Source organism: Homo sapiens, chromosome 14, assembly GCF_000001405.40.
Source record: "Homo sapiens chromosome 14, GRCh38.p14 Primary Assembly".
NCBI lineage: Eukaryota > Metazoa > Chordata > Mammalia > Primates > Hominidae > Homo > Homo sapiens.
In genome coordinates, this window is record NC_000014.9 from 90,669,957 (window position 1) to 90,691,990 (window position 22,034).

At 41.6% G+C, this 22,034-nt stretch overlaps 1 protein-coding gene across 3 annotated transcripts in view, besides 1 other annotated feature; it reads right to left on the reverse strand.

Moving 5' to 3' along the window:
* TTC7B (tetratricopeptide repeat domain 7B) overlaps positions 1-22,034 on the reverse strand; it is a 291,867-nt gene that overhangs the window by 145,393 nt on the left and 124,440 nt on the right. For all 3 annotated transcript variants that reach the window (NM_001320421.2, NM_001010854.2, NM_001401365.1), the window contains exons 7-9: positions 19,584-19,756; positions 10,516-10,579; positions 6,567-6,704 (exon numbers count right to left, since the gene is read on the reverse strand). In NM_001320421.2, coding sequence (NP_001307350.1) covers positions 6,567-6,704; positions 10,516-10,579; positions 19,584-19,756 — 375 coding nt within the window. The remainder of the gene's footprint in view (positions 1-6,566; positions 6,705-10,515; positions 10,580-19,583; positions 19,757-22,034) is intronic.
* Positions 12,318-12,818: an enhancer, noted in NCBI's record as "H3K4me1 hESC enhancer chr14:91148618-91149118 (GRCh37/hg19 assembly coordinates)". NCBI's record gives its function as "activates a minimal SCP1, AML or CMV promoter by ChIP-STARR-seq in primed H9 embryonic stem cells {active_cell/tissue: H9 hESC(primed)}" and the evidence as "EXISTENCE:reporter gene assay evidence [ECO:0000049][PMID:30033119]".

Here is a 22,034-nt window from a genome sequence, read left to right on the forward strand (position 1 = left end):
ACTCGGAAAACATGCTGTGTCTTTATGTGCAAGTGTTGATGTTGGCTGGGGACAGGAGAAGGAAGGAAAGTCCAAGGACAGTATTCACTGCAGCATTATTCACAATAGCCAAAAGGTGGACACAACCCAGGTGTCCATTGACAGATGAAGGGATAAACAAAATGTAACATATACATACAATGGAATATTATTCAGTCATGAAAAGGAATGAAGTTCTGATTAATGCCATCAGATATATTGTTATAACATGGCTGAATCTTGAAAACATTAGGCTAAGTGAAGCAAGCCAGACATAAAAGAGCAAGTATTGCCTGATTCCTTTTATATGAGGTACCCAAAATAAGCAAATTCATAAAGACAAAAATTAGATTAGAGTTTACTAGGGTATCGGGAAGGAGAGAATGAAAAGTTATTGCTTGATGGGTACAGAATTTCTGTTTGGGATGATGGAAAAATGTGGAAATAGATAGTGATGATGGTTGCACAACATCGTGAATGTAATTAAATGCAACGGAATTTTACACTTTAAAAAGGTTAACATGGCATATTAAAAAAAAATTTTAAACAAAGAACTAAAACAAAACCATGAGGTATATACCTAGATTCCTTGTTTCTCTGAACTATGCTACCCTAAGAGTTTAAACCCCTTCCATTCCTCCCAAACGTGTTGGCATTTTCATTGAGGACCACGTTAAGAAAGCAATGCTTAATTCAAAAGAACATTTCCATAATGGTGAGAATGGAGATCCCAGGGGCCATGTCAGAGGCTGACATTCTTTGGGGCAGGGTGTCATGAAAAAATGGTAAAGATGGTTCCTATTGAGCCGACTCACAAAGCTGGACCAGAGCTGGGAACTGTCCAGGTGCTCTGCCCCAAGCCAGGCCCATCCCTTACTCTGCTGCCCATTTTCCACTCAATGACCTTTAACCTTTGGGCCTGCCTGGGGAAGATACACTCCTTGCACATCTAGGGACCTCTAAAACCAAAGGAAAGGGGGCAGGATGAGGGTGCACACTGGCTTTGAAGCACTGGTGCATTCAGCAAGTTGTTATGAACCACCTAGCATTAGCCAAACACCCTGCCTTGATTTCTCAGAAGTCTACGGATCCATTTGTGTCATGCCCACTGATACCTTCTAGAAACCTTGGCACGTAGCTCAAGGCTGGGTTTCTACAGTACAAGCAGGACTGCACGCAATGCTGAACTTTAAACAAATGGTGGGCCTGGCAAGCAGACGTTGTTAGATGTGCAATGCTTTTCACTGTGCTCCCTGATTAAATAAGCATTTAGGTTAGGGAGGTGTAAATGTCCTTTTGGTACAATCACTAGTCAGACAGTTCTACCCACAGAACTATGGTGTTGTTGAGATTTACCACAAACACATGAATATGAGTTCAACAGGAAAGATAAAAATACCATTCCTGTCTTTAAAGCTGCCTTGCCTATGGAGGGGGGACACACACAACCTTCTAAAAGGACCCCATAATATCCTGTCGAAATGGAGCCATTAATAGTCAAATTCAAGAGACAAACCTCCTTAGCAGCTTGGGTTCATTCTGAAAAACAGAGGAAGCGGTGCTTGCTGCTTTACTTTTAATAGCGCAGGTTGTCATGCCAACTAGTGCTGCTGTTTAAAATGAAGAGGAAAAAAAGAAGTGTTCCTTCCTACACAAACCTTTCAGCAGGGCTCACAATTAGTCTTTAAAAACACAAAAACTCACAGCACTGGAGATATGGTAAACATTGTGCTTCTATTTAAACCTGTCAGAATGAGGATGTGATAAACCTTTGGTCTGTGTCTCCTTTGTACAATGCTCTTTGGCCAGCATCTGGCTGAAAAGTCCATAAGGAAAGAAAGGCACGATGATGTGGTGCACACAGAGGCGGCCGGTCTTGAGATGGGAGAGCAGCCTTCCATCTTGAATAAGCATAAGAGAAAGGCCAGCTTCCTTGAGAAAGAGAGGCTCTGCTCCCACTTACCCCTGTGAGCACAGTTATTAAAAGGCTGGGTCTGCACAACGCTGCACAACACACCCACTGCACAAGGGTGCCAAGGACAGGAGAGAGAGGAACATGTGCTGGCAGTGGCAGCAGAGGCGCCCCCACCCTCTGTGGTGCCCGTGGGCCCAGGTCAGCCAAGGAGAGGAGCCAAGAAGCAGGAAGACATGCTGTGCCCTGACGTGTAAGTGTTAATGCTGGTTGGGGACAAGAGAAGGAAGGAAAGCACAAGGACAGGGTGAGAAGGAGTTAAGACCTCTTCTCTCTCTCACAATTGACTGATGGTTTTATGAACTCTTCTGTCCACAAAAGCTTCCACCCATGTAAAAGAAGATCTAGCAAGGTTTCTGAGGCAAAGAGGACTTACTCACACACGAGCCACACGGTGATATGTCTAGATCGCATCTTCAAGGGGCACATGTAAAGTCTGCCAACAGGTTGTGGTGCTGACAATCAGGCCCCACACTTTCTTTCCAAGCTCCTCTCCTCCCACTTCTCCATGAGAGCAAGCCCTGGGTTCCTGTTCCCTTGGGTCCAGTGCCTTCACAGCTCCGCAAGCTTAAGGATGAAGAGGGTCTCTCTCCTCCTAGACCACTTAATGCCTATCAGGCCTTGAAGAGCCAATTCATATATCCATTGTTCATAATCTCTTACTGGCACTCCCAACCTATAAACTCTGCTGCAATTGGCCTATTCCATTCACCTGCCAATTAACATGCTTTGCACTATTATGTATTCTCTAATTTGATTATCTTTTTGTTTGTTTCTATGTGGTCTCCCTAACTAGAATGGAAATTTCTTGAAGGCAAAAGATCTTTTTGTATCCTTTGTTGCTTCCCCTGTGCCTAGTAACTCCTGTATATACAGTGGTAGTAACTGCAGCAGCATACAGTTGCCTCTTAACGAGCTCTAAGTGCTGGGCTCTGTTCTGAGTACTTTACATGGATTAATGAATATGCATCTCCCAACTGTCTGAGATATACATGCACACAATTATTACCCCTATTTAACAGGAAAAGAAACTGATGCATAGGAGGTTAATGATGTGCCTAGGCTCACACGACTGGTACATAGCAGACCCAGAGCTCAAACCAAAGCTCTCTGACTCTAGAGCCTGTGACACACTATGTTGATGACCTGAGTTTGGGGTTGAGGAGGCAGAGATGGGTGAGGTGCCAGTGGAGGAGAGAAGAGAGATAGGGAATATCCACAATAAAATGTGCAAGATACTGTCCCATTCAACAAAACTTACATAATGCACAATTTATTCATAAAGACAGATGTAAAGATTGCCTCTAAAATGTCAATTAGTCAACTATCTCAGGAGAGCTGGATTCTAAGGCACTTTTCTTTCCTTTTCCATATTTTGCATGTATTGTTTGATTCTCCAAGGAGCATGCAGGACTATTGCATATGGCGAAAAGATAAACAGTGAAGTCAATTTCATTATGGGCGGAAAGGAAAACAAAACAAAAAGAGAAAAAAGAAGGAGCGCGGGTCTGTCGAATATTTCTGAACAGAAGGATGGCATGTCTATTCCTGTGTCTCAGAAAGATCGCCCTGCTGACAGTGGAGGAAATGAAGACAGGGAAATATAACATATCTCTAAGACAAATGATAAAAATGATAATTACTAACATTTATGGAGCTCAGAGAAAGGTAATATAGGAAGTTTAAAATCCAGTTATCCTCACAACAACACTGTTCATAGTAGCCAAAAGGTAGAAACAACCCACATTTCCATCAGCTAATGAATGGAAAAACAAATTGTGGTAGATCTGTACAACGGAATACTATTCAGCCATAAAAAGAAATATTGATCCATGTTATAATGTGGATAACCTTGAAAACATTATGCTATGTGAAAGAAGCCAGACACCAAAGCCCAAATATTGGCTATTTATATTTATATGAAATACCCCAAATCAGTATCCATAGAAAAAAAAAGCAGATTAATAGTTGACAGGAACTTGGTGGGAGTGAGGAATGGAGAGTGGCTGCTTAATGGGTATAGGGTTTCTTATAGGGTGAGGAAAAGGTTTTGCAATTTGAGGTGATGGTTGCACAGTGGTATGAACGTACTAAATGCCACTGAATTCTACACTTTAAAATGGTTAGGTTTGTTACGTGAATTGTACTTCAATTAAAAAAAAAATCCAGTTACTCTTTTAAATTAAAGTCCTGAGAAAATGGAAAGGCAGATGAGGAGGAAAAAAAAGTGGATTCAGAAAAACCCCAGTAAATGAGGAAGTAAGACAAGTGGGACACCCAGAGTAGGATGTGGCCTCGGACAGAGGGAGGGAGAGAGGGCCCACACTCAGCAAAGGGTGGACCTAACCCCTATCTTCAGTAACTGAGCTATCCAACCATGGGCCAGGCAGCCTTGAGATGCTGTGAGCTTTCATCTTTCTCCTACAACATCGACCGTTTTAGTCGGATGATCTGAGACAACACAGTTGGTGAATGCTCGCTCCAATTGCCTAAGTGGTAGGCACAGGCAAGGCTGAAGCCAAGTATCCAACCCCTAGATAAGGCATGCAGAGCTTGTGCTGGGCCCGCCCCCGTCAGCACATGGGCCACAGCTGCTTGTCACACCTGGCAGCTCCAGGCTGGGGGCAGCTTGTGAGCAGGGGCCACACCTTGCTCCTGGCTGTATCCCTGGCCTTAATCAGAGCCCCTGGCACAGAAGAGGTGATAGTACATACATGTGTTGAAGAAATAAACATCTTCCATTTCATATATTTCATCAGTTGGTTGAGATTTTTAGAAGATAAAACACAGATATGGTATAAAATTCAAAAGGCTCTGGGGGAGATACAGTAACAAATTTGCCTTTCTTCTACCCTCCTATTCCAGCTTCCCCGAGGCAACCTTTGGCACTGCACCACCTTTTGCAATGTGACTAGGGGAGTGAAGTTCTGACTTGCAAAGGTTCCCGCAACTACACTACCCAGTCATTTGGGAGGCAGGTGACCACCACGAGGTGGGAGCTACATATGATATCAAGACAGAAGTCATCTGGGTGAAAACAAGGTCCTAGTATTCTGTGCCAGGAGCAGGCACAGGCCCCGGAGCCACAGCTTGCAGAGGAAACCACCAGGGTGATGACCACCCCCTAGAACGTTCACAGAACAATGGGAAGCCCAGGGGCAGAGACCACCCAGCCAGTCAACAGGGCCAGACACCTCAAGCTCCTCACTCTTGTTTTGGACCTAGGAGATTTCGAGCTGGGGAAAGGCAACATTGCTACCCAATAGGATGGAAGTAGATGTGTGCGTACCACTGTCATCCTTGAACCTAGAGAGGTGATAATGTGTTTTGTCTGGAGGAACGAATTCACCTTAAAGGAATTCAACTGTGAGCTGGGTGGCATGGTCCCCAGTGACAGGCTTTGTGGTGGACACAGCTGACAGGAACTTAGGTGGTGGGGAGAAGGGGGGTCCAGGAAATCAAGGTACCGGGAGAGGTTCGATCCATTTAGTGATGAGCAACCTAGGCCAATCCTAAGCCTGGACTGAGTCCCGGGGCTGAGCCGCATGTGGTGGGGGCATCTGCACACACTGCTTTGTCAGGCCAGATTGTGAGGCTGAGTAACCACTGCCCTGTAGAGTCACCAAACCATGGACTAAAAAAAGATTCAAGCCACACAGGCTCATCTGTTTCCCCAAGGTTCCTGCCTAATGTGGCGATGCACTGGCAGGCTAGAGGGTGAGTCGGGCACTTATCTGATTTCAGCCAATCTGTTACTGTATTTCATTCCCTGTCCTCGTGCCCAGAGGCTGTTGCAATGGGTATAAATTTAGAAAGAGAAAGATAAATAACATGGAAAAGTTCCTTTTAAAAAATAGGGATTTTTTTTTCTCTATTTTGCTAAAGAAAAGATAAAGTGATCTTCTTGTTATTTATTTAGCCTTACCATGGTAGAATTTGATATTTTGGGCAGGAACCTAATAATGCATAACCATAGCCCAGGATGAACCAGCTTCTCCTGAAACTGTGAAAGAGGCAAGCCTCCATCCTAAGCGTTTCTTAGAAACTGAGGGAGTGAGAAGATGACAGTACCTTGCACAAGATCTGAAATCCACGAGGGTCCCTTCTGAACAAGCAAAAGACTCTGAAAGAAGACTGTCTCCTTTATATGAAACGGTCTATACCAGCTAACATAACACACTGTGCCTGAAATTGTCAGGCCACTGGCGATTTCACTGTACACATTGATACTTTAAAGGAAACCTGTTCTATGAGGAAATTAATATCACAGATGGGAGATTTTCAGTTGGTGGAAAGAGAAACTGCTTGAGAAATGTTTGCCTTCCCTCACACACAAACTCACAGCCTGGTGGGTTATGGAACTCTCATGGTAAAAGACTAGATCAATTCCACCACCTAATCATTTAGCCCAAGGCCCATTCTACAGGGGAGAAAACCAAAGTTAAGTGACTGGCCCAAGATCACATGGCTGCCACTAATAGAGGGGGGCCCAGGACCAGGTCTCACAGCGCTTCCCTGGGGTCACCGTGCAACTGCCACCCACCACCTGGATGTCAACCAGACTCAGCAGCTGTACCTCTGACAGCATCTCATACTGGCCTCTTCTTCCAAGAGCAATGGTGAGTAAGTCATAGACCACAGATGCACTCTGCAGACTGATGAGGCGGTCACTCTTGTGTTCAGGTATCCTGCTCAGCACAGCGTCCCGGTTGGCCTGAAAAAACATGGAATAGAGAAGCAGATGGAGAGAGAACCTAGTGCTGCATGGCGGGGAGTCCACCTAGGCCCTCCTGCCCCTACCAATTTGCGAAGGGAATGGAGACAAGGGTAGGAATGAGCAGAGGCCTGTCATCTTGGGTTATTTATTCAAAATCCCCTGGGCACCGCAGAACATGATATACGGGATGATCCAAACACTGAAGTCCTGGAAGTGTGAACCTAGAGGGCACCTGTACCTGTCGACAGGCATCTGGAGGAAGCCTTGGCAGCCGATACAAAGTTTTCCCTGGCCTCGGGTTCATAGCCAGCCTCATAGAAGACGCAGCTGCGCTCTAGAGCAGCCGAATCATCCATCAAGTGAGGCCCTGCTGCACCTCACTCGTGAATCCTGCTTCTGCTCTACATTAAAGAGTGGGAGAAAATTCCCAGCCCTGCATTTCCCAACACCCAATTGTGTCATCAAGTTCCATGAGTCCTACAGAGATATATCTTACTTTTCCTCTATCACCAAGCAACATTCAAATCCCTATATGACATCTTCACTGGAACAGAACACAAAGATGAGTTCAATCTTGTTTAAGGAAGCACAACACAGATATATAAGAGAAAACAAGAAGAAAGCAGATTTTTACTTTAAAAGATATTAACACAGAGGACTCAAGAGAACACCGTCAATTTTCTATGCTTAGCACAGAAATACATCAGGCACATTCAAACTTATTAATCTCATCTATCCAGAAATCAAATGCTCTTTACAGCAACTTGTTTCCATTACTTCTAAAATTTAATTTCTCTACAGATTCCTCCAAATATATCACATGTCTGAGACTCAACAGCTAGCTCATTTTCCTCTTTTCCCTAATAGGAAGTTCAGAATCAACAAAGTTAGATTTCGCCTGCCTTTTTCCCTCTGCTAATTAACAGAAGTCTGCAGATCCATCTGTCTGTAGGAGCAGAGAAAGGCCCCCCCAGTCTTTCCTGTGAAAGTGGTACATGAGGTTCCGGGGTCACTTGTCCCGGCAGGCTGACGTTGATCTTCCCCCTGACATTCAGAAAGGCCACACACACACCTTCCCTCTCACTAATGAGACAAAATGCATTTTCTTTGTGTGTGAGTCCAAGGCATTTACTTTTAGCCACCCATCAGTACTTACTCACTTTAAAACTCCTTGCTGTTAAATGTCAAAGACAAATAAGAATATATAAGACAGGCCACTTCCTACAAAGTGAGTCATCTCTTACGGAAACAAGCCTGCTTTTGAAGATTTCATTCTAAGTTTTTCTTGTTAGGAGTCCCTCTTGAGCCCAAAAAAAGCAGCTCTGAAGGAAACAGGGGCCTGTTGCAAATGGTCTCATTTTATTTATTTGCTATATATGTTCCATACTGAGACCAATGCCTGGAAGAGAACAAAACAAACATACTATTTATGAGAGACTTTCAAGTTATACTAAATGCATTCTTTTCATTTTTAGAGAAAGTATCAGTATCTTTTGATTAAAAAGGTACAATATAGAACCTCAAACAGACCCACAAATAATAAATATCCCAGAATATTGCCTCAGTGGTAGTTCTGCAAATCAAGTTCTTATAATCCCATTCTCCTAGGGGAAACTAATTTGATTTGTAGTTAGAAAACAGCACAATTCTAAATGATACCTTGTAGGTGGAGAAGCGACGGACAAATTCATGCTTCTGAATTAAAGTCAGTACCAACAAAGAACACAATTTTCTGACATCCAAAAAACACAGCAATTTTCATTTTGGTTTTGAAATTGAGCACATTCATTTTCTGTCTAAAAACTAAACAATCGAGAAGTCAAAGGATATGGAAAAAAGGCTTCCAAAGGCAATTTCATTTAGATTTCTACCTACATTTTCTGAAATGATTTACAGGAAGAACATAATCATTTTGGTTAGAAACCTCATCCTTCATATCCACTGATGACATCACTGGATTTCAACATCCCCTGAAGAGATTTTTCTGGCAATTACATACCATAGAGCCAAATCTGACTGTCTCAAAGGGATCTCAATGTTTGAGTATTATTAGTTTCTATCACTTCAATTAAGAAGCAGGAGAGTTGGAGATATCATTCCAAAGACATCTCCACTTAGTGCAAGCATTTTAGAGAGGTGGCCATGTTTTCCAAATTGCAGACTGGAACACATCATCTGACAGTGGAACATAATGTTTTCAATCAGAATTGTCCAGGTAATCTAAAATGTACAGTCATCATGCTTTCAGAACTTTTACACCATAACCAACCAAGTTTGCCCAAAGGGAACTACCTGCCAAGGACCCAACTTGGGATGAGGGAATGCTGACCAGGAGGCCAAGATGAGCTGGCTCCATGGATGACCCGGTGGGGAAGCCTGTGGAGACTCGTTCACTTGAATGCCACCTAGTGCCAGCCTGCTCACCTATGTGCTTCCCTGATTGCACCAAGGCAAGTAGAGAATGTAAATGACACCACCCTAAGTTATCAGCTGACTATCGGGCAACCTGCTTCCTTGAGAGGAAGTAAGCCCAATGACACCAAAGAGCCTCCAGATCAAAAGAGGTGGTAACTCAAGCAGACTTGCTCTTGTAAACATCAGTGGACCATTCAAAGTTTTAATCAAAGGCAAGAAAGCTGCCCTCTCATGAGTTCTGGCCTCTTCTGAACCCTCCTTCTCTCCGCGCATGTACGTTATTATGCTCAGACCCCATGTCTATACTCACCTGAGTCCATTTTATACCTCCCATTAAACAGTATGTGTGGGGAGGGCAAAAAGGGAAATGCCTTCTCTTGCTTTAGTTATGATTCCCTTCTCTCCCCTGGGCTGCCCCGGGGGTTGGCGGTAAGCGGTGACAACTATGGGGAGGGGGCAGTACAATCTCCTAGCAGGAACAGGAGACCACTGCGTGATGCACGCATTCCGCCTGCTCTAGGCCTCAGGTTCCTCATGTATAAAACGAGGGAAGGGGACGCGAGCCCTCAAGATCTTTTGATTCCAGGAGCCCACCCATTCTGCTCAGGTGCTCAGTATACATCACTTTTCTGCTGAGGAATTCACTATTACTACACACATGATCCTGAAGGTTTTAAGCCAGGGCCACAGCGCCTAGTGATAGATACACAGGGCAGAAACCCAATAAATGATGAGTGGTGAAATAGACCTAAAATTCTATATTCTGGCCAAATACTAAGAAAATGTTTCAAAGGAATCAGAGGGTCTGGCAAAAACTCCCTCACAATAGCAGTGACAAGTGAGCTCTCACGGCCTGGGACTTTACAGTGTCTGGCAAAGCCAGGAGCTGGAAGAGACAACAAGGGCAGGAGGATGAGAGTTTCATCAAGCTCCTGCTGTGAAGACCAGAGCTTTATAGATCCAACAAATGACTTATCCCAAAATTCTCGCCCACTCCAGGGCAAATTGAGAGGCTTATAAAGGTCACCCTTTGGGGGCCTCTTTCTCCTTTTAAGGTTCCTCCAGTGGTCATTTTAGCTGTGGTTTACCTAGATACAACTGCAATAATGTTCAGCCAATACTGGGTGGATGAATGAATGAACTAAGATACGTGCTTCAAGATAGAAGATAGAGAAGCTCCAAGCTCCAGGCTAACCAAGGGACATTGCTAGCTGGTCCAGGAATTAAGAAACAACCCTCTTTTTAAACCTCTACTGTTTTTTCCCATCCAGGTATACCCTCTAGAAAGTATTTTCTCTTAAGAAAAAGAGTCATGATACTGGCAGAATGGCTATATCAAAAAAGGGTCTACAGGGCCAGGGGAAAGAACGATGTAAAAACACATTCCACTTACCATTGATTCACTAATCAGCAATAACAACAGGGCTTCTTCCGTATTTTCTTGAGGACAAAAAATGCTGCAGTTGAAAGAAAACTGACTTTGATATATGGCAGTTTCAAAATATACAAATACAAGCAGAACTGAACACTAAAAGCTTCCAGAATTTTATATAATACCCATGAAAAATACTGTATAATTTGGACACTTGAATTAATTTGCCTATTTCTATGGTAATCTATGGAATTCATACATTTTAGCTATGCATTTTAGTGGTAGGCAGAAGGGTAAAGTAAAGCTGTAAAAACCAAGTTAAAAGCCCAAATAACATATGTACATATTACAGAGGCAGAATTTTAGATTTCAATAAATTGACATTATCTAAATAATACAAGCTTTCTCCTAAACCTATTAGAGAGGTATAAATTGCAGGCATTTCACTAAACAGTACTCTTCTTACCTCTTACCTGCTAACTGGCATATCTTATACTGTCGTTTAGATGAAATAAGAGATTAGAAGCAATTTTAGAGTTTGAATAATTTCTCTAATACTGTAAGAATTTAGTGAACTATCTTATTTAGACACATAAGTTTTATTATGGGGTAGCATGCAAGAGCTCTTATTAATCTATTTTATGGAATTTGGCTGAACTCCTAAATCTTGGATTAAAAGAAAGAGCTTTTTAAGCTCAATGTTGCTCAGGATTAGAGAATAATAAAAAGTCAGCAGAACCCCAATCTGTATTCTCTATAGCCTATTTTCTGTGTTGTGAGCAATTGCAGCATTTTTTCTCCTGTTCTAAAGCTCTAGAATCCTTTGAGCAGAATTGTGAATGTTATCACCAATTGGGTCAAACTCAATATTTTTTCATGAAATGGACGAAGAGAGTGCAATAAATAAAAATGAACTTGGTTTAAAAAAAACTCCTAGATATCTTGAAGATGACTAAAAACAACTAAGTTTATGTCTTCCCAGGGATAATATTACAATCATGTAATTGAAGGGATTTCCCCACACCCCCAATAAAAGGCAAAAAAAAAAAAGGATTTCCACATAATTACAAACATTTGTTTTCTTTGAAGTGCTGGCAATTTTTGTACTGCATCTTAGGATGATAAAGAGCAAGACAGGAGGAATGCAGCGCCTGGTATTCTCGTTACAATGCTGATACCGCTGGAGGTAAGGAAGCCACCTGCAGGATGGTTTCTATCATTCTTCTGAGGCTAAAATTTTATGAAAAGGCTGGCCTGAGAATGAGGAGCAAGATTCGGGGATGTGCAGTGACTTGCTTCAGAAGTCAGCTTGAGATGATCTGGGTTTTTCAGATGGGACACTTCTTTCCCCTTAGATTCTGGAATAGAGCCTAAAGGCTCTGAATTAAGTGTCTCCCAAACAACCACCTCAGTATGTTGTTGTTGTTGTTGTGTGTGTGTGTATGTGTGTGTGCATGTACATGCACACTCGTGCCCCACAATCATTTCCTGATATCCTGGCTTGTGGTTACATGCAATTGGGACCTTGCAAATAAAGCAGTAACATGAACCATTGTGTGTATGTGTGCACGCACACACCCATATGTGCACACCCATGCCCAGCAATCATTTCCTGATATCCTGGCTTGTGGTTACATGCAACTAGGATCTTGCAAATAAAGCAGTAACATGAATCATTTTTTTTTTCATGGCTAGCCGGTTCTGCATTATCCAGACCAATTGAAAAGACAGACAGCCTATGCTAATTGTGACTTAACAGCAGTCAATTCAGTCCATGGCTAATCTCCAAATTCTGTTTGAGCCATCCAGCCTGCTTAAATGCTAGTTTGTGTTATTTTTACCATAGTTGCTAACAAGTGGCACATTAACCGAATCCAGCTCCACTTCCTCTACCCTCCCTATTTGTGGCAGGCAAGGTGGGTACTCAGGAGCACTGCAAAGCTCCCAAGGCCAGCAGGAGCCGGGGGAGAAAAGGTAGTTTTAAGAGACATACCTAAACAACTACACATTAGAAGGCTCCCTCTCAATCATTATGAATTCTCTAGACCCATTTCCGGCCAATTCCTTCCCTCTTGTTTGCTCAGGGAAGCATGGATGGAGCTCAGGGTGAACGGGTCAAAACTGTTGGGGCCTTCCTTTTGTGGCCTTCTCCTCTTTGGGGCCCACGAGCCTCAGGGGGAGATACTGGGGTACCCAGGCCTCAGCCTTGAAGAGTGGGAAAACTGGGGCCCTAGATCCAGAGGAAGTTGCGTGAAGGGGAAGGTGGGGGACGAAAGGGGACAAGAAGAAAACAGGGCTCAGCAGGCATGAGGACAAGCTCCCAAGAGCTGGCAGGCTGGCAAAGGAGGCGGCAGTGGGGCAGCTGCTGCGCTGAGAATGGGAGGGTGCGTCCTCGTCCCAGCCATGCCACCAACTCACTGGGTGACCTTTAGGCAAACTGCCCATTTTCTTACTTTGGATGAATTTACCAACTCATTTTCTGATTCTACAGAAGACATAGGGAACAAGGGTGAGAATTCTCAGGTATAAGTAGTAATCATCATCTTGCCAGGGCTCCCACATAATAGCTTTTTCTTAAAAATTTCCTCCGAAAGGTAGAAACTTTACCTTAATGGTAGACACAATCATACAAAAGAAATTAATCCAACTTTACCCAACTGCATTTCATCTCTTCTGTCATCGTTAGCCATTATATAACTAATGACAAGTTGAGGTCTAAAGGTCACCGGCATCCCCTAAAATTCTCTATTTAGGTGCAGGGAGGGCCTTGAACACTGCCAACCCACGAGAAAGTTGATTTGTAAATAATGACAACATCAACTCTAAGGTCTAGTAATGGTTCCTTTATAATTTTAATATGTCTGGCTGAGATACTACCAGGAAATTCCTGGAGAAACACAGCCTCTGAACCACAGCCAGCCAGGTAAGAGCTGAGGCATGGAGGCCAAGAATGGCTGAAGTCCCACCCCGACCCCAAGTCACACTGTCTGCAAACATGCCAAGGCAGAATCTACTGTCGATCCCAGGTTTATGTGGATAAATGGGTATCAAAAAAGGAATAGGACTTAAATTGAAAATTAAGAGTGCATCTTGATTATTAGGGATCAGCTAGTCTGATGTAAGGACTATCGAGGCCTCACCACGCTTCCATTTTGTGTCAATTCATATAGGTCAAAAATCTCCCCATGACAAAGAAAGAAGGGTCCCTCACGCAGCCCAGTGCAGGTCCACTGGGCTACACTCTGCTGAGTGGGTCAGGTGAATCCCACATAGAACATCACCTTGCACAAGTGTTTCCATGTTCCTGCTGAGAGGACGGGCCTCTCCACAACTCCAAGGTGGGCTGTGTACACCAGAGGCAAGGAGATGACAGGCAGCCAACGGTGTAGCTGGTCGTTTACACAGCTTTGGTTCGGCCATCAAGAAGTCATCCTGACCCTTCAACATCCCTCTGCTTTCCATTTTATTTTATTTATTTATTTTTGCAAGCTCTTGAGGATTTATTGTGTCCACGGAAGGGCCTGGCCAGTGCCTGGCTCGGGATGTTCTGCCCTCCCCGGCCAAGACCCCTCCATTTTCCATTTTAAACAGCATTCCCATCCTTACCAAAAACTGGAAACCAGGAGGTTCAGATCTACACTCAATATTCCATGATAATTACCTTTTCCGCCGAGACCTACAAAGGAGTTTAGACAGTGCCTGGCACTCACTAGCATTCAATGAATCTTTTCATCATCTGCTTCTTGGAAGTATTATCCAATATTAACCAGTATCCACAATAGCTGTTTTTAATCTTCTGCTTTACTTTGTGTTAACTATCTAGTCTAATGTGCATTTAATTGTCGAAGCTACCTCAACTGCTTCTTACAAGAAGAAATACAATGAAAAAAAGTATGCCTGACTGACTGAAACACACACACATATATATATACACATTAAGAAACATGTAGATGCAGGGGGAAAAAAGAAACACGTACAAGACTCTTCACAGAAGCACTGTTCCTATTAGCCCCAAATGGGAAACAACTCAAACTCACAACACAAGCAGAATGGGTCAATATATTGGAGGACAGTCATAAAATGAAATACCTCGCAGCAATGAAAAACACTGCTACATGAAGAAATATGGGTGAATAGTTCAAATATAAAGTTAGACAAAAGAAGTTAAACATTAGAGAGTGCATATCGTATGATTCCATGTATATAAATTTCAAAAAGGGGCCAGACTAATTATTGTGACAGAAGTCAGGAGAGTGCTGCCCTGGATGGGGGTGGTGACTGGAAGAGGCCACGGGAGGGCGTGTAGGGCTCCAGTAGTGTCCTTTCCTGACCAAATGCTACTTACATGGATATGTTGATGAACTTGGTGGAAGTTCATCAAGTTTCATACTTTTGATTTATTTTTCTCTATGTATGGTGTGTATCCAAAAAAGCTTACTCTAAAAAATAAGTAAACTAAAGCTGATACAATTCTTCACAGAAACCACCCAGAAGGAAAGAAAGCAAGGAAGCCTATGACAGGTGATCCCTCTTCTCATTCCATCCAGGATTTTCTACATTGTATTTCCTTTCAAATTCAAGATGGGCAGAGTGAGCATCCTGTATGCATTTCACGTTCAGGTCTCTTTGACCTGGGGTGCAGCTTCCTGGCAGGGATTGTTTTTCAGTTATGTTCCATTACAACCAACTCTTCTGAATGGTCCTTGTGGTTTTCTGGAGCTAGAGGGATCTCTGCCATCTAAATTTTGCTTGACACTTATTATACTTCTCATAAGAGACTGTGGAGAAGGAGACTGTTAGCCAAAATGAGGTTTGCACATTATCTACGGATTCCCTTTCCCACCTCCAAACCAGCATAACTGAATGGTGAGAATGTGCTTTCTGCCAATGTGAATGGGTCAGAGTCCAGCCTTGGTAAGAAGGGAACCTCCAAACAAGAATAACTCCCACAGCTGTTCCTCTTTACTAATATTCTAAGAAGTAGAGCTCTGAACCCACAAAATTACAAAGCTAAAAACTGATGGTGATAAATGAAGGCATAGGATTCATGTGGAAATCGATGAAACAGAGAACAGAATCACAACAGAAAAAAGTCAAAACCCAAAGTTGGTTCCTCAAAAAGATCAACAAAATTGACAAAACTTTTAGTTAGACTGACTCTAAAAAAGAGAAAAACGACTTAAATTACTAAAATGAGAAATGAGAGAACATGACAACCAACCCTGTAGAAATACAAAAAAATTATAAAGGAATGCTATGAACAACTGTACGGAAGCAACTTAGGTAATTTACATGAAGCAGACACATTTCTAGAAAGATGCAAACTATTCAAACTGATTCAAGAAGAAATAGAAAATACAAATAGACCTAAAATAAGTAAAGAGATTGAATTAGCATTTAAAAAAAAACAAAAAAAACTTCCTACAAAGAAAGCCTAGGTCCAGGTGGCTTCACTGGTGAAGTCTACCAAAGATTTAAAGGATTAATACCAATTCTCCACAAACTCTTTCAAAAAGAAGAGGAGGGAATAGTCTCCAACTCATTTTATGAGGCCAATATTACTCTAATACCAAAACCAGACAAAGACATCATAAGAAAACTGCAGAATAGTATCCTTTATAAATATAGATGTAAAAATCTTTAACAAAATATCAGCAAATAGAACCCAGCAATAATAAAAAGGAGTATATACCATGACTTGGACAGGGATGCAGGTTGGCTTAATGTGTGAAAATCAATTAATGTATACACCACAGCATTAGAATAAAGGGCAAAACCCACATTATCATTTCAATTGATGCAGAAAAAGCAGTTGACAAAATTCAACACCCATTAATAATAAAAATAACAAACTAGAAATAGGAAGCCCTTTACTTAACCTGATGAAGGGCATCTATAAAAGCCCACAGTGAACACCATACTCTGTGAAAGACTAGATAATTTCCCCCGCCTGAGATCAGGAATGAGACAAGGATATCCATGCTTGCCACTTCTATTTAACATTGTACTGGAAGTTCTAGCCAGGACAATTAAGGAAGAAAATAAAATAAAATGCATCTAGGTTAGAAAGGAAAAAGTAAAACCATCTATATTAGTATTAATAGATGACACAATCTTGATATAGAAAATCCTAAGGAATCCAAAAAAACTATTAGGACCAATAAACAAATTCAGCAAGGTTACAGTACACAAGATCAATTTACAAAATCTGTTGTATTTCCATATACTTGCAGTGAGCAATCCAAAAATGAAATTAAGAAAACAACTCTATTTATAATAGCATCAAAAAGAATAATGCATATTTGCATGCACACATGTGCACGCACGTGTGCACACACATTTAGGAATAAGCGTAACAAAAGAAATACAAGCTTTATATCCTGAAAAATACAAATCATTGTTGAAAGAAATTAAAGACAACCTAAATAGATGGAAAGATATCTCATGTTCATGGATCAGAAGACTTAATATTTTTAATATGGAACTATTCCTCAAATTGATCTACAAATTCAATGCAATTCCTATTAAAATCCCAGCTGCCTATTTTTTTTTTTTTTCAAAAATGGACAAGCTAAAATTCATATGGAAATGCAAGGGCTTGGGAGACAGGAAGGTGACAGCTAAGAGGTGCTGGGTTCATTTTGGGGGTAATAAAAATGTTCCAATCATGGCGATGGATGCACAACTAGGCAAGTATATTAAAAGCCACTGAATTGCACACCTTCAATGGATGAATTGTATAATATGTGAATTATGTTTCAATAAAACAGTTTTTTTAAAAGCTGATCACGTGTATCCATGTGAACTGAAACTTGTGACTCAGTAGACAGTGCTACTACGGGAATGCTCCCTTTAATGACTGCATTTTCTGGAGCTGTATTTTGCTTCTATAATTCTCCTTGTACACATGGGAAAGCTGACATTAGAAAAGTGACAAAATCTGAGTGGTTCAGGAAATGGAGAAATGGCCAGCACTGTGAGCTTCTCTGCCTTCAAGGGGTGAGGCCATACTGGATGGCACCCAAAGAGACACAGAGCTCTGGCCATGTGTCAAAGTGGACTGGGGGAAGAGGGTGAGAATGGAGGTCCTTAATGCACCTGGCACCTTGGTTATTAAGAAGCATCTAAAGCAGGGGAAAACTTTAGAGTCTATTTTTATGATATAAATATCACTTAAAAATGAACCCCAAACCTGCTTCACAATGAGGGGTCAGCATTTTAAAAATAAGAGCATTGAAAATTGCTAGAACAGATGTTCTATGAATCCAGATAAGGACTAAAGAGTAAACACATATTGTGAATTAAGCAAACTCATGGTTCAACAAGGCTGTAGAAAAGGGGGATGAAAACTAAATTACGATAAGCCGAGGGAAAAACCTAAGAATATGCTAACTCATCTGAATCCATGTAAGAAACACAAACTTGAACAAGAAGGTGACAAGAGAGAGAAATGCAAGGGTCAACTTAAGAGGATTATTAAGAGGTGGCAACCTTGAAGAAATGCCGACTCCTCTGAAAGTACAACAGTCATTTTCAGATGTTTGAAATCTTGATCTTCAGATGGAGAAAGCGTGTAGTCACGCCATCTCTATTAGTGCTTTCTCTGGGACTTCAGAAGCAGCCACCTCATCCTCTCAGCTGTTTTTCTAATTTGAAAACATGGAAAAGGTCTTCAATATTTATTCATGTGTGTTCCCCTTTCCTTCACACAGAGATTCTGAAAAGCCATCATGTCTTGTCCTTACAAGAACAGGCAAAGGCCAGAGTGGTGGCTCATGCCTGTAATCCCAACACTTTGGGAGGCCAAAGTGGGCAGATCACCTGAGGTCAGGAATTCAAGACCAGCCTGGCCAACATAGTGAAACCCTGTCTCTACTAAAAATACAAAAATTGTCCCAGCGTGGTGGCTCACACCTGTAATCCCAGCACTTTGGGAGGACAAGGCGGGTGGATCATGAGGTCAGGAGATCGAGACCATACTGGCCAACATGGTAAAACCCCGTCTCTACTAAAATACAAAAAATTAGCCAGGCATGGTGGCACGCACCTGTAGTCCCAGCTACTTGGGAGGCTGAGGCAGGGGAATCACTTGAACCCAGGAGGTGGAGGTTGCAGTGAGCCAACATCACGCCACTGCACTCCAGCCTGGTGACAGAGAGAGGCTCTGTCTCAAAAAAAAAAAAAAAAAAAAAAAAAAAAAAAAAAAAATTAGCTAGGTGTGGTGGTATGTGCCTGTAATCTCAGCTACTTGGGAGGCTGAGGCAGGAGAATCACTTGAACCTGGAAGGCAGAGGTTGCAGATTGCGCCACTGCACTCCAGCATGGACAAAAGAGCCTGACTCTATCTCAAAAAAATAAAAAATAAAAAAAATTTAAAAATTTAAAAGAGCAGGAAAATATGGGAATTCAAGACTTGAATGGGAGGCATTGAGAATGAGTCAACAACCATTCCAGCCTCCCAGCCCTTCTCCTTGTCTCTCCCTCCTCTGTCTGGCTTCCCCTGGCCTGGGGAAGGCTCATGCTAAGTCTATAGTGATTCTCTGGCCCATTATCCTCCAAGGTGATCAAGTCTCAAATTTAAAACTTAAAAAAGATAAAGAAGTTCTAAAGACACATCACCTTCCAATCACTTGCAAATATTAGATTCTCCTTCTTATATCTAGTTCCATTTAGAACAAGATTTTAAACAAAAGGATCAAGGAATTGCTGAAGAAAAGAAATGTTAGATGGGTGAGATCGATGTTAGATGTTAGATGGCTTACAGATAGCTTTATTTCTGATTGCTGTCTGATGCTGAGGTCTTATAATAAATGGAAAGAAAATTCCAAAAGCCAATAGTGATGGCTGCAAATGGCACCCAAGCACTGAGATGAGAGCATTCTCCTACTTAAAATGTCCCTGCTAGTGCACAGATATTTGCTGAAGTTACGAAAAGTAATGAGGAATCTCTACTAAACTGGAAAATGACACTTGTTCATTTGATTTTCTTTTAAGGAAAAAATCTACTCTTGTACTTCTCATCATCCTTGAATTTTCCCAAGTTTTCCTCCCAACCCATAACCTACAAGTGAGGACATCAACTTTCATACTTCTCTCCTGAGTAGACACGGGCTCTCCGAGTGAGAGTGTAGGTTTTTGTGTTTGCTCCTTTGCGGAGAGGATCGTCCAGAGGTGACTGGCACGGTGGATCCTCCAGAGGGTTCCAGTAGCTCTGCTCACACATACCCCGCAACAAGATCTCTGCCAGCTGCCTGGCTATTGTCTGGGAACATAAACGAGGAAAAGCATAGCCATGAATCTATCTTGTATTAGTCATTCATTCAGTCAGTCAATAAATATTTATATCATCACATTGTGCTAAGCACTACTGCAAGGCTCATAATTAAAAATTTTTCCTTTACGATGGTAATCATACCAGTTTATGACAAGAAAGAAAAGAAAATATGATTCACTAAGATGTTTGAACACTTAAAAGGTTCATGTACTTCAAATGCCACCCCACCTGTCACACTCTGGAATACTAAACATGTTTTATACCTGAAACAACTGAAACTTTTGGCTAAGCCCTTTCCCAAGAGCTCTTATAAATAACAGGTGAGCTGCAGATATTAGCATCACTAATGATGTGTGCTTAACCTCAAGCCTGGCAAAATGCTTGTACTCAGCTTAGATAACGCTATCCCTGAAAAAATTATCCTCACTGACAATCCGATGTCCACTGTAGACGTCTTCTTTCTTACATGTACCAATGGCAGGGCCTAATCATCCCACCCCCGAGGACTCAGCACCTGAGTGTCTACTCTCAGTGCATCCTGGGCTCCTGGCCCAGAGGTTTTCACTGGCCTTGTGCAATAGGGAAGGCAAAGTGGGAAATGGTTCCCGATCAAGAAAGACCTTTCTTTAAAGCTGGATGGGTATCCCCTTCTTCACAGTGAAAACCCAGAAACATCTGGATCCTGTCCTCCAAGTTAGATGCAGATTAATATGCTTCCCAAACTTCTGTAATTCCACTGCCTAAAACAGTACGATGTATAATATAATGTATGGGGGAAAAGAATGTGTGGTATGTACTAAGAAGTGTTTTGTTGACTGATGTATGTCAGTTCACTTAGCTTGTAATCTTCCAGTAACAAAGAAGAGGATAAGTAATTTAAAAAAAAATCCCTCTGAAAAGAGAAGCACTGCATCCCAGGGTAGTTCACTCTACCCATGATCAGCCAGAGGTGGCATCATAAACCAGCATGGTTTTCTACCAGGTTTTAGCATTCTTTGAAGATGCAGACAAAGACTGCTGATCTTCTGAGAAGGAGACTTTTTTAAAAAAATAAGTAAATGTTTCAGAAGAGGGCTTTGCTAAGCTTTCATCCATATGAAATCTCTTAAAACACCACAAGGAAAATTAAATCCAACCAAATCACTAACAGAGTGGTTTCTGATAACCACTGGGTAAAGGCAAATTTTCTTGATTATTCCCAAGTAAGACCCATTGGCATTAAATGTCTATAAAAATGTGAAATTAAATGCACTCTGATCATCCCCAACTGAGCAATCTGTAAAGATCTCATAAGAACACAATTTTCAGGACCTAAACAGCTCCTGAACTGGTTTCTTAAACCTTCCATTATAGTTTCATTTTGATCTCATTGCAGTCATATAAGCTAATGACTTTTGCTGGAAACTTCAACTGGCAAAAATAACTTCCACTCACTATAGCTGAGAAATAAGTGTTAAAAGGAAAAAAAATGAACGAGGAATTTCATTTTCTGAATACATTTGCCATGGAGGGATTTTAAAGTTGTAAAAATTTCTGCCCTAAACAGTTTGCTTGTTCACTACTAGATAGCTCATGCTAGGTCTCATTTTCTCTCAGGGTATTAACCTTCCTGAGAGATTTTTTAAACGTGGGGTTTTGATGTGATTGCATATTCTGAAGACATCACTTCACCAGTTCTCTACCTATTAAGAAGGCCATTTGGTTATGTCCACTGAAAGCTCAAATGAAGTTCAGAAAAAAACAATAAATATGAAATTACCAGCAAGATCACCAATATCTAGAATACTTTTTACTTTTTAAACTCAACCTACATTTAGCCTGTAGTTTAAATGCATCCAATTGTTGGTAACTATAAAATAAATTCAGGATCAAAGGAGAGAAAGGTGGGAAGTGGGCCTGAAATAAGACCTGGATGTTTATGTACAAATTTGGTCATTAAATGCCCTTTTTGTGTGTGTATGTGTTTTAAAACTTGTGATGAAATTCACATAACATAAAAGCCACCACTTTAATTATTTAAAGTGTACAATCCAACAGCATTCAGGACACTCACAATGTTGTGCAACCATTAGCACTATCTAGTTCCAGAACATTTTCATCACCCCAGAAGGAAACCCTATATCCTTTAGGCAATCACTCCCCACTTCCCCTCCCTCTCAGACTCTGGGAACAACCAACATGCTTTCTGGCTCCATGGATTTGCCTATTTTGGACATTTTATATAAATTAAAGTATGCGATATGGGTCTTTTTGTGACCAGCTTCCG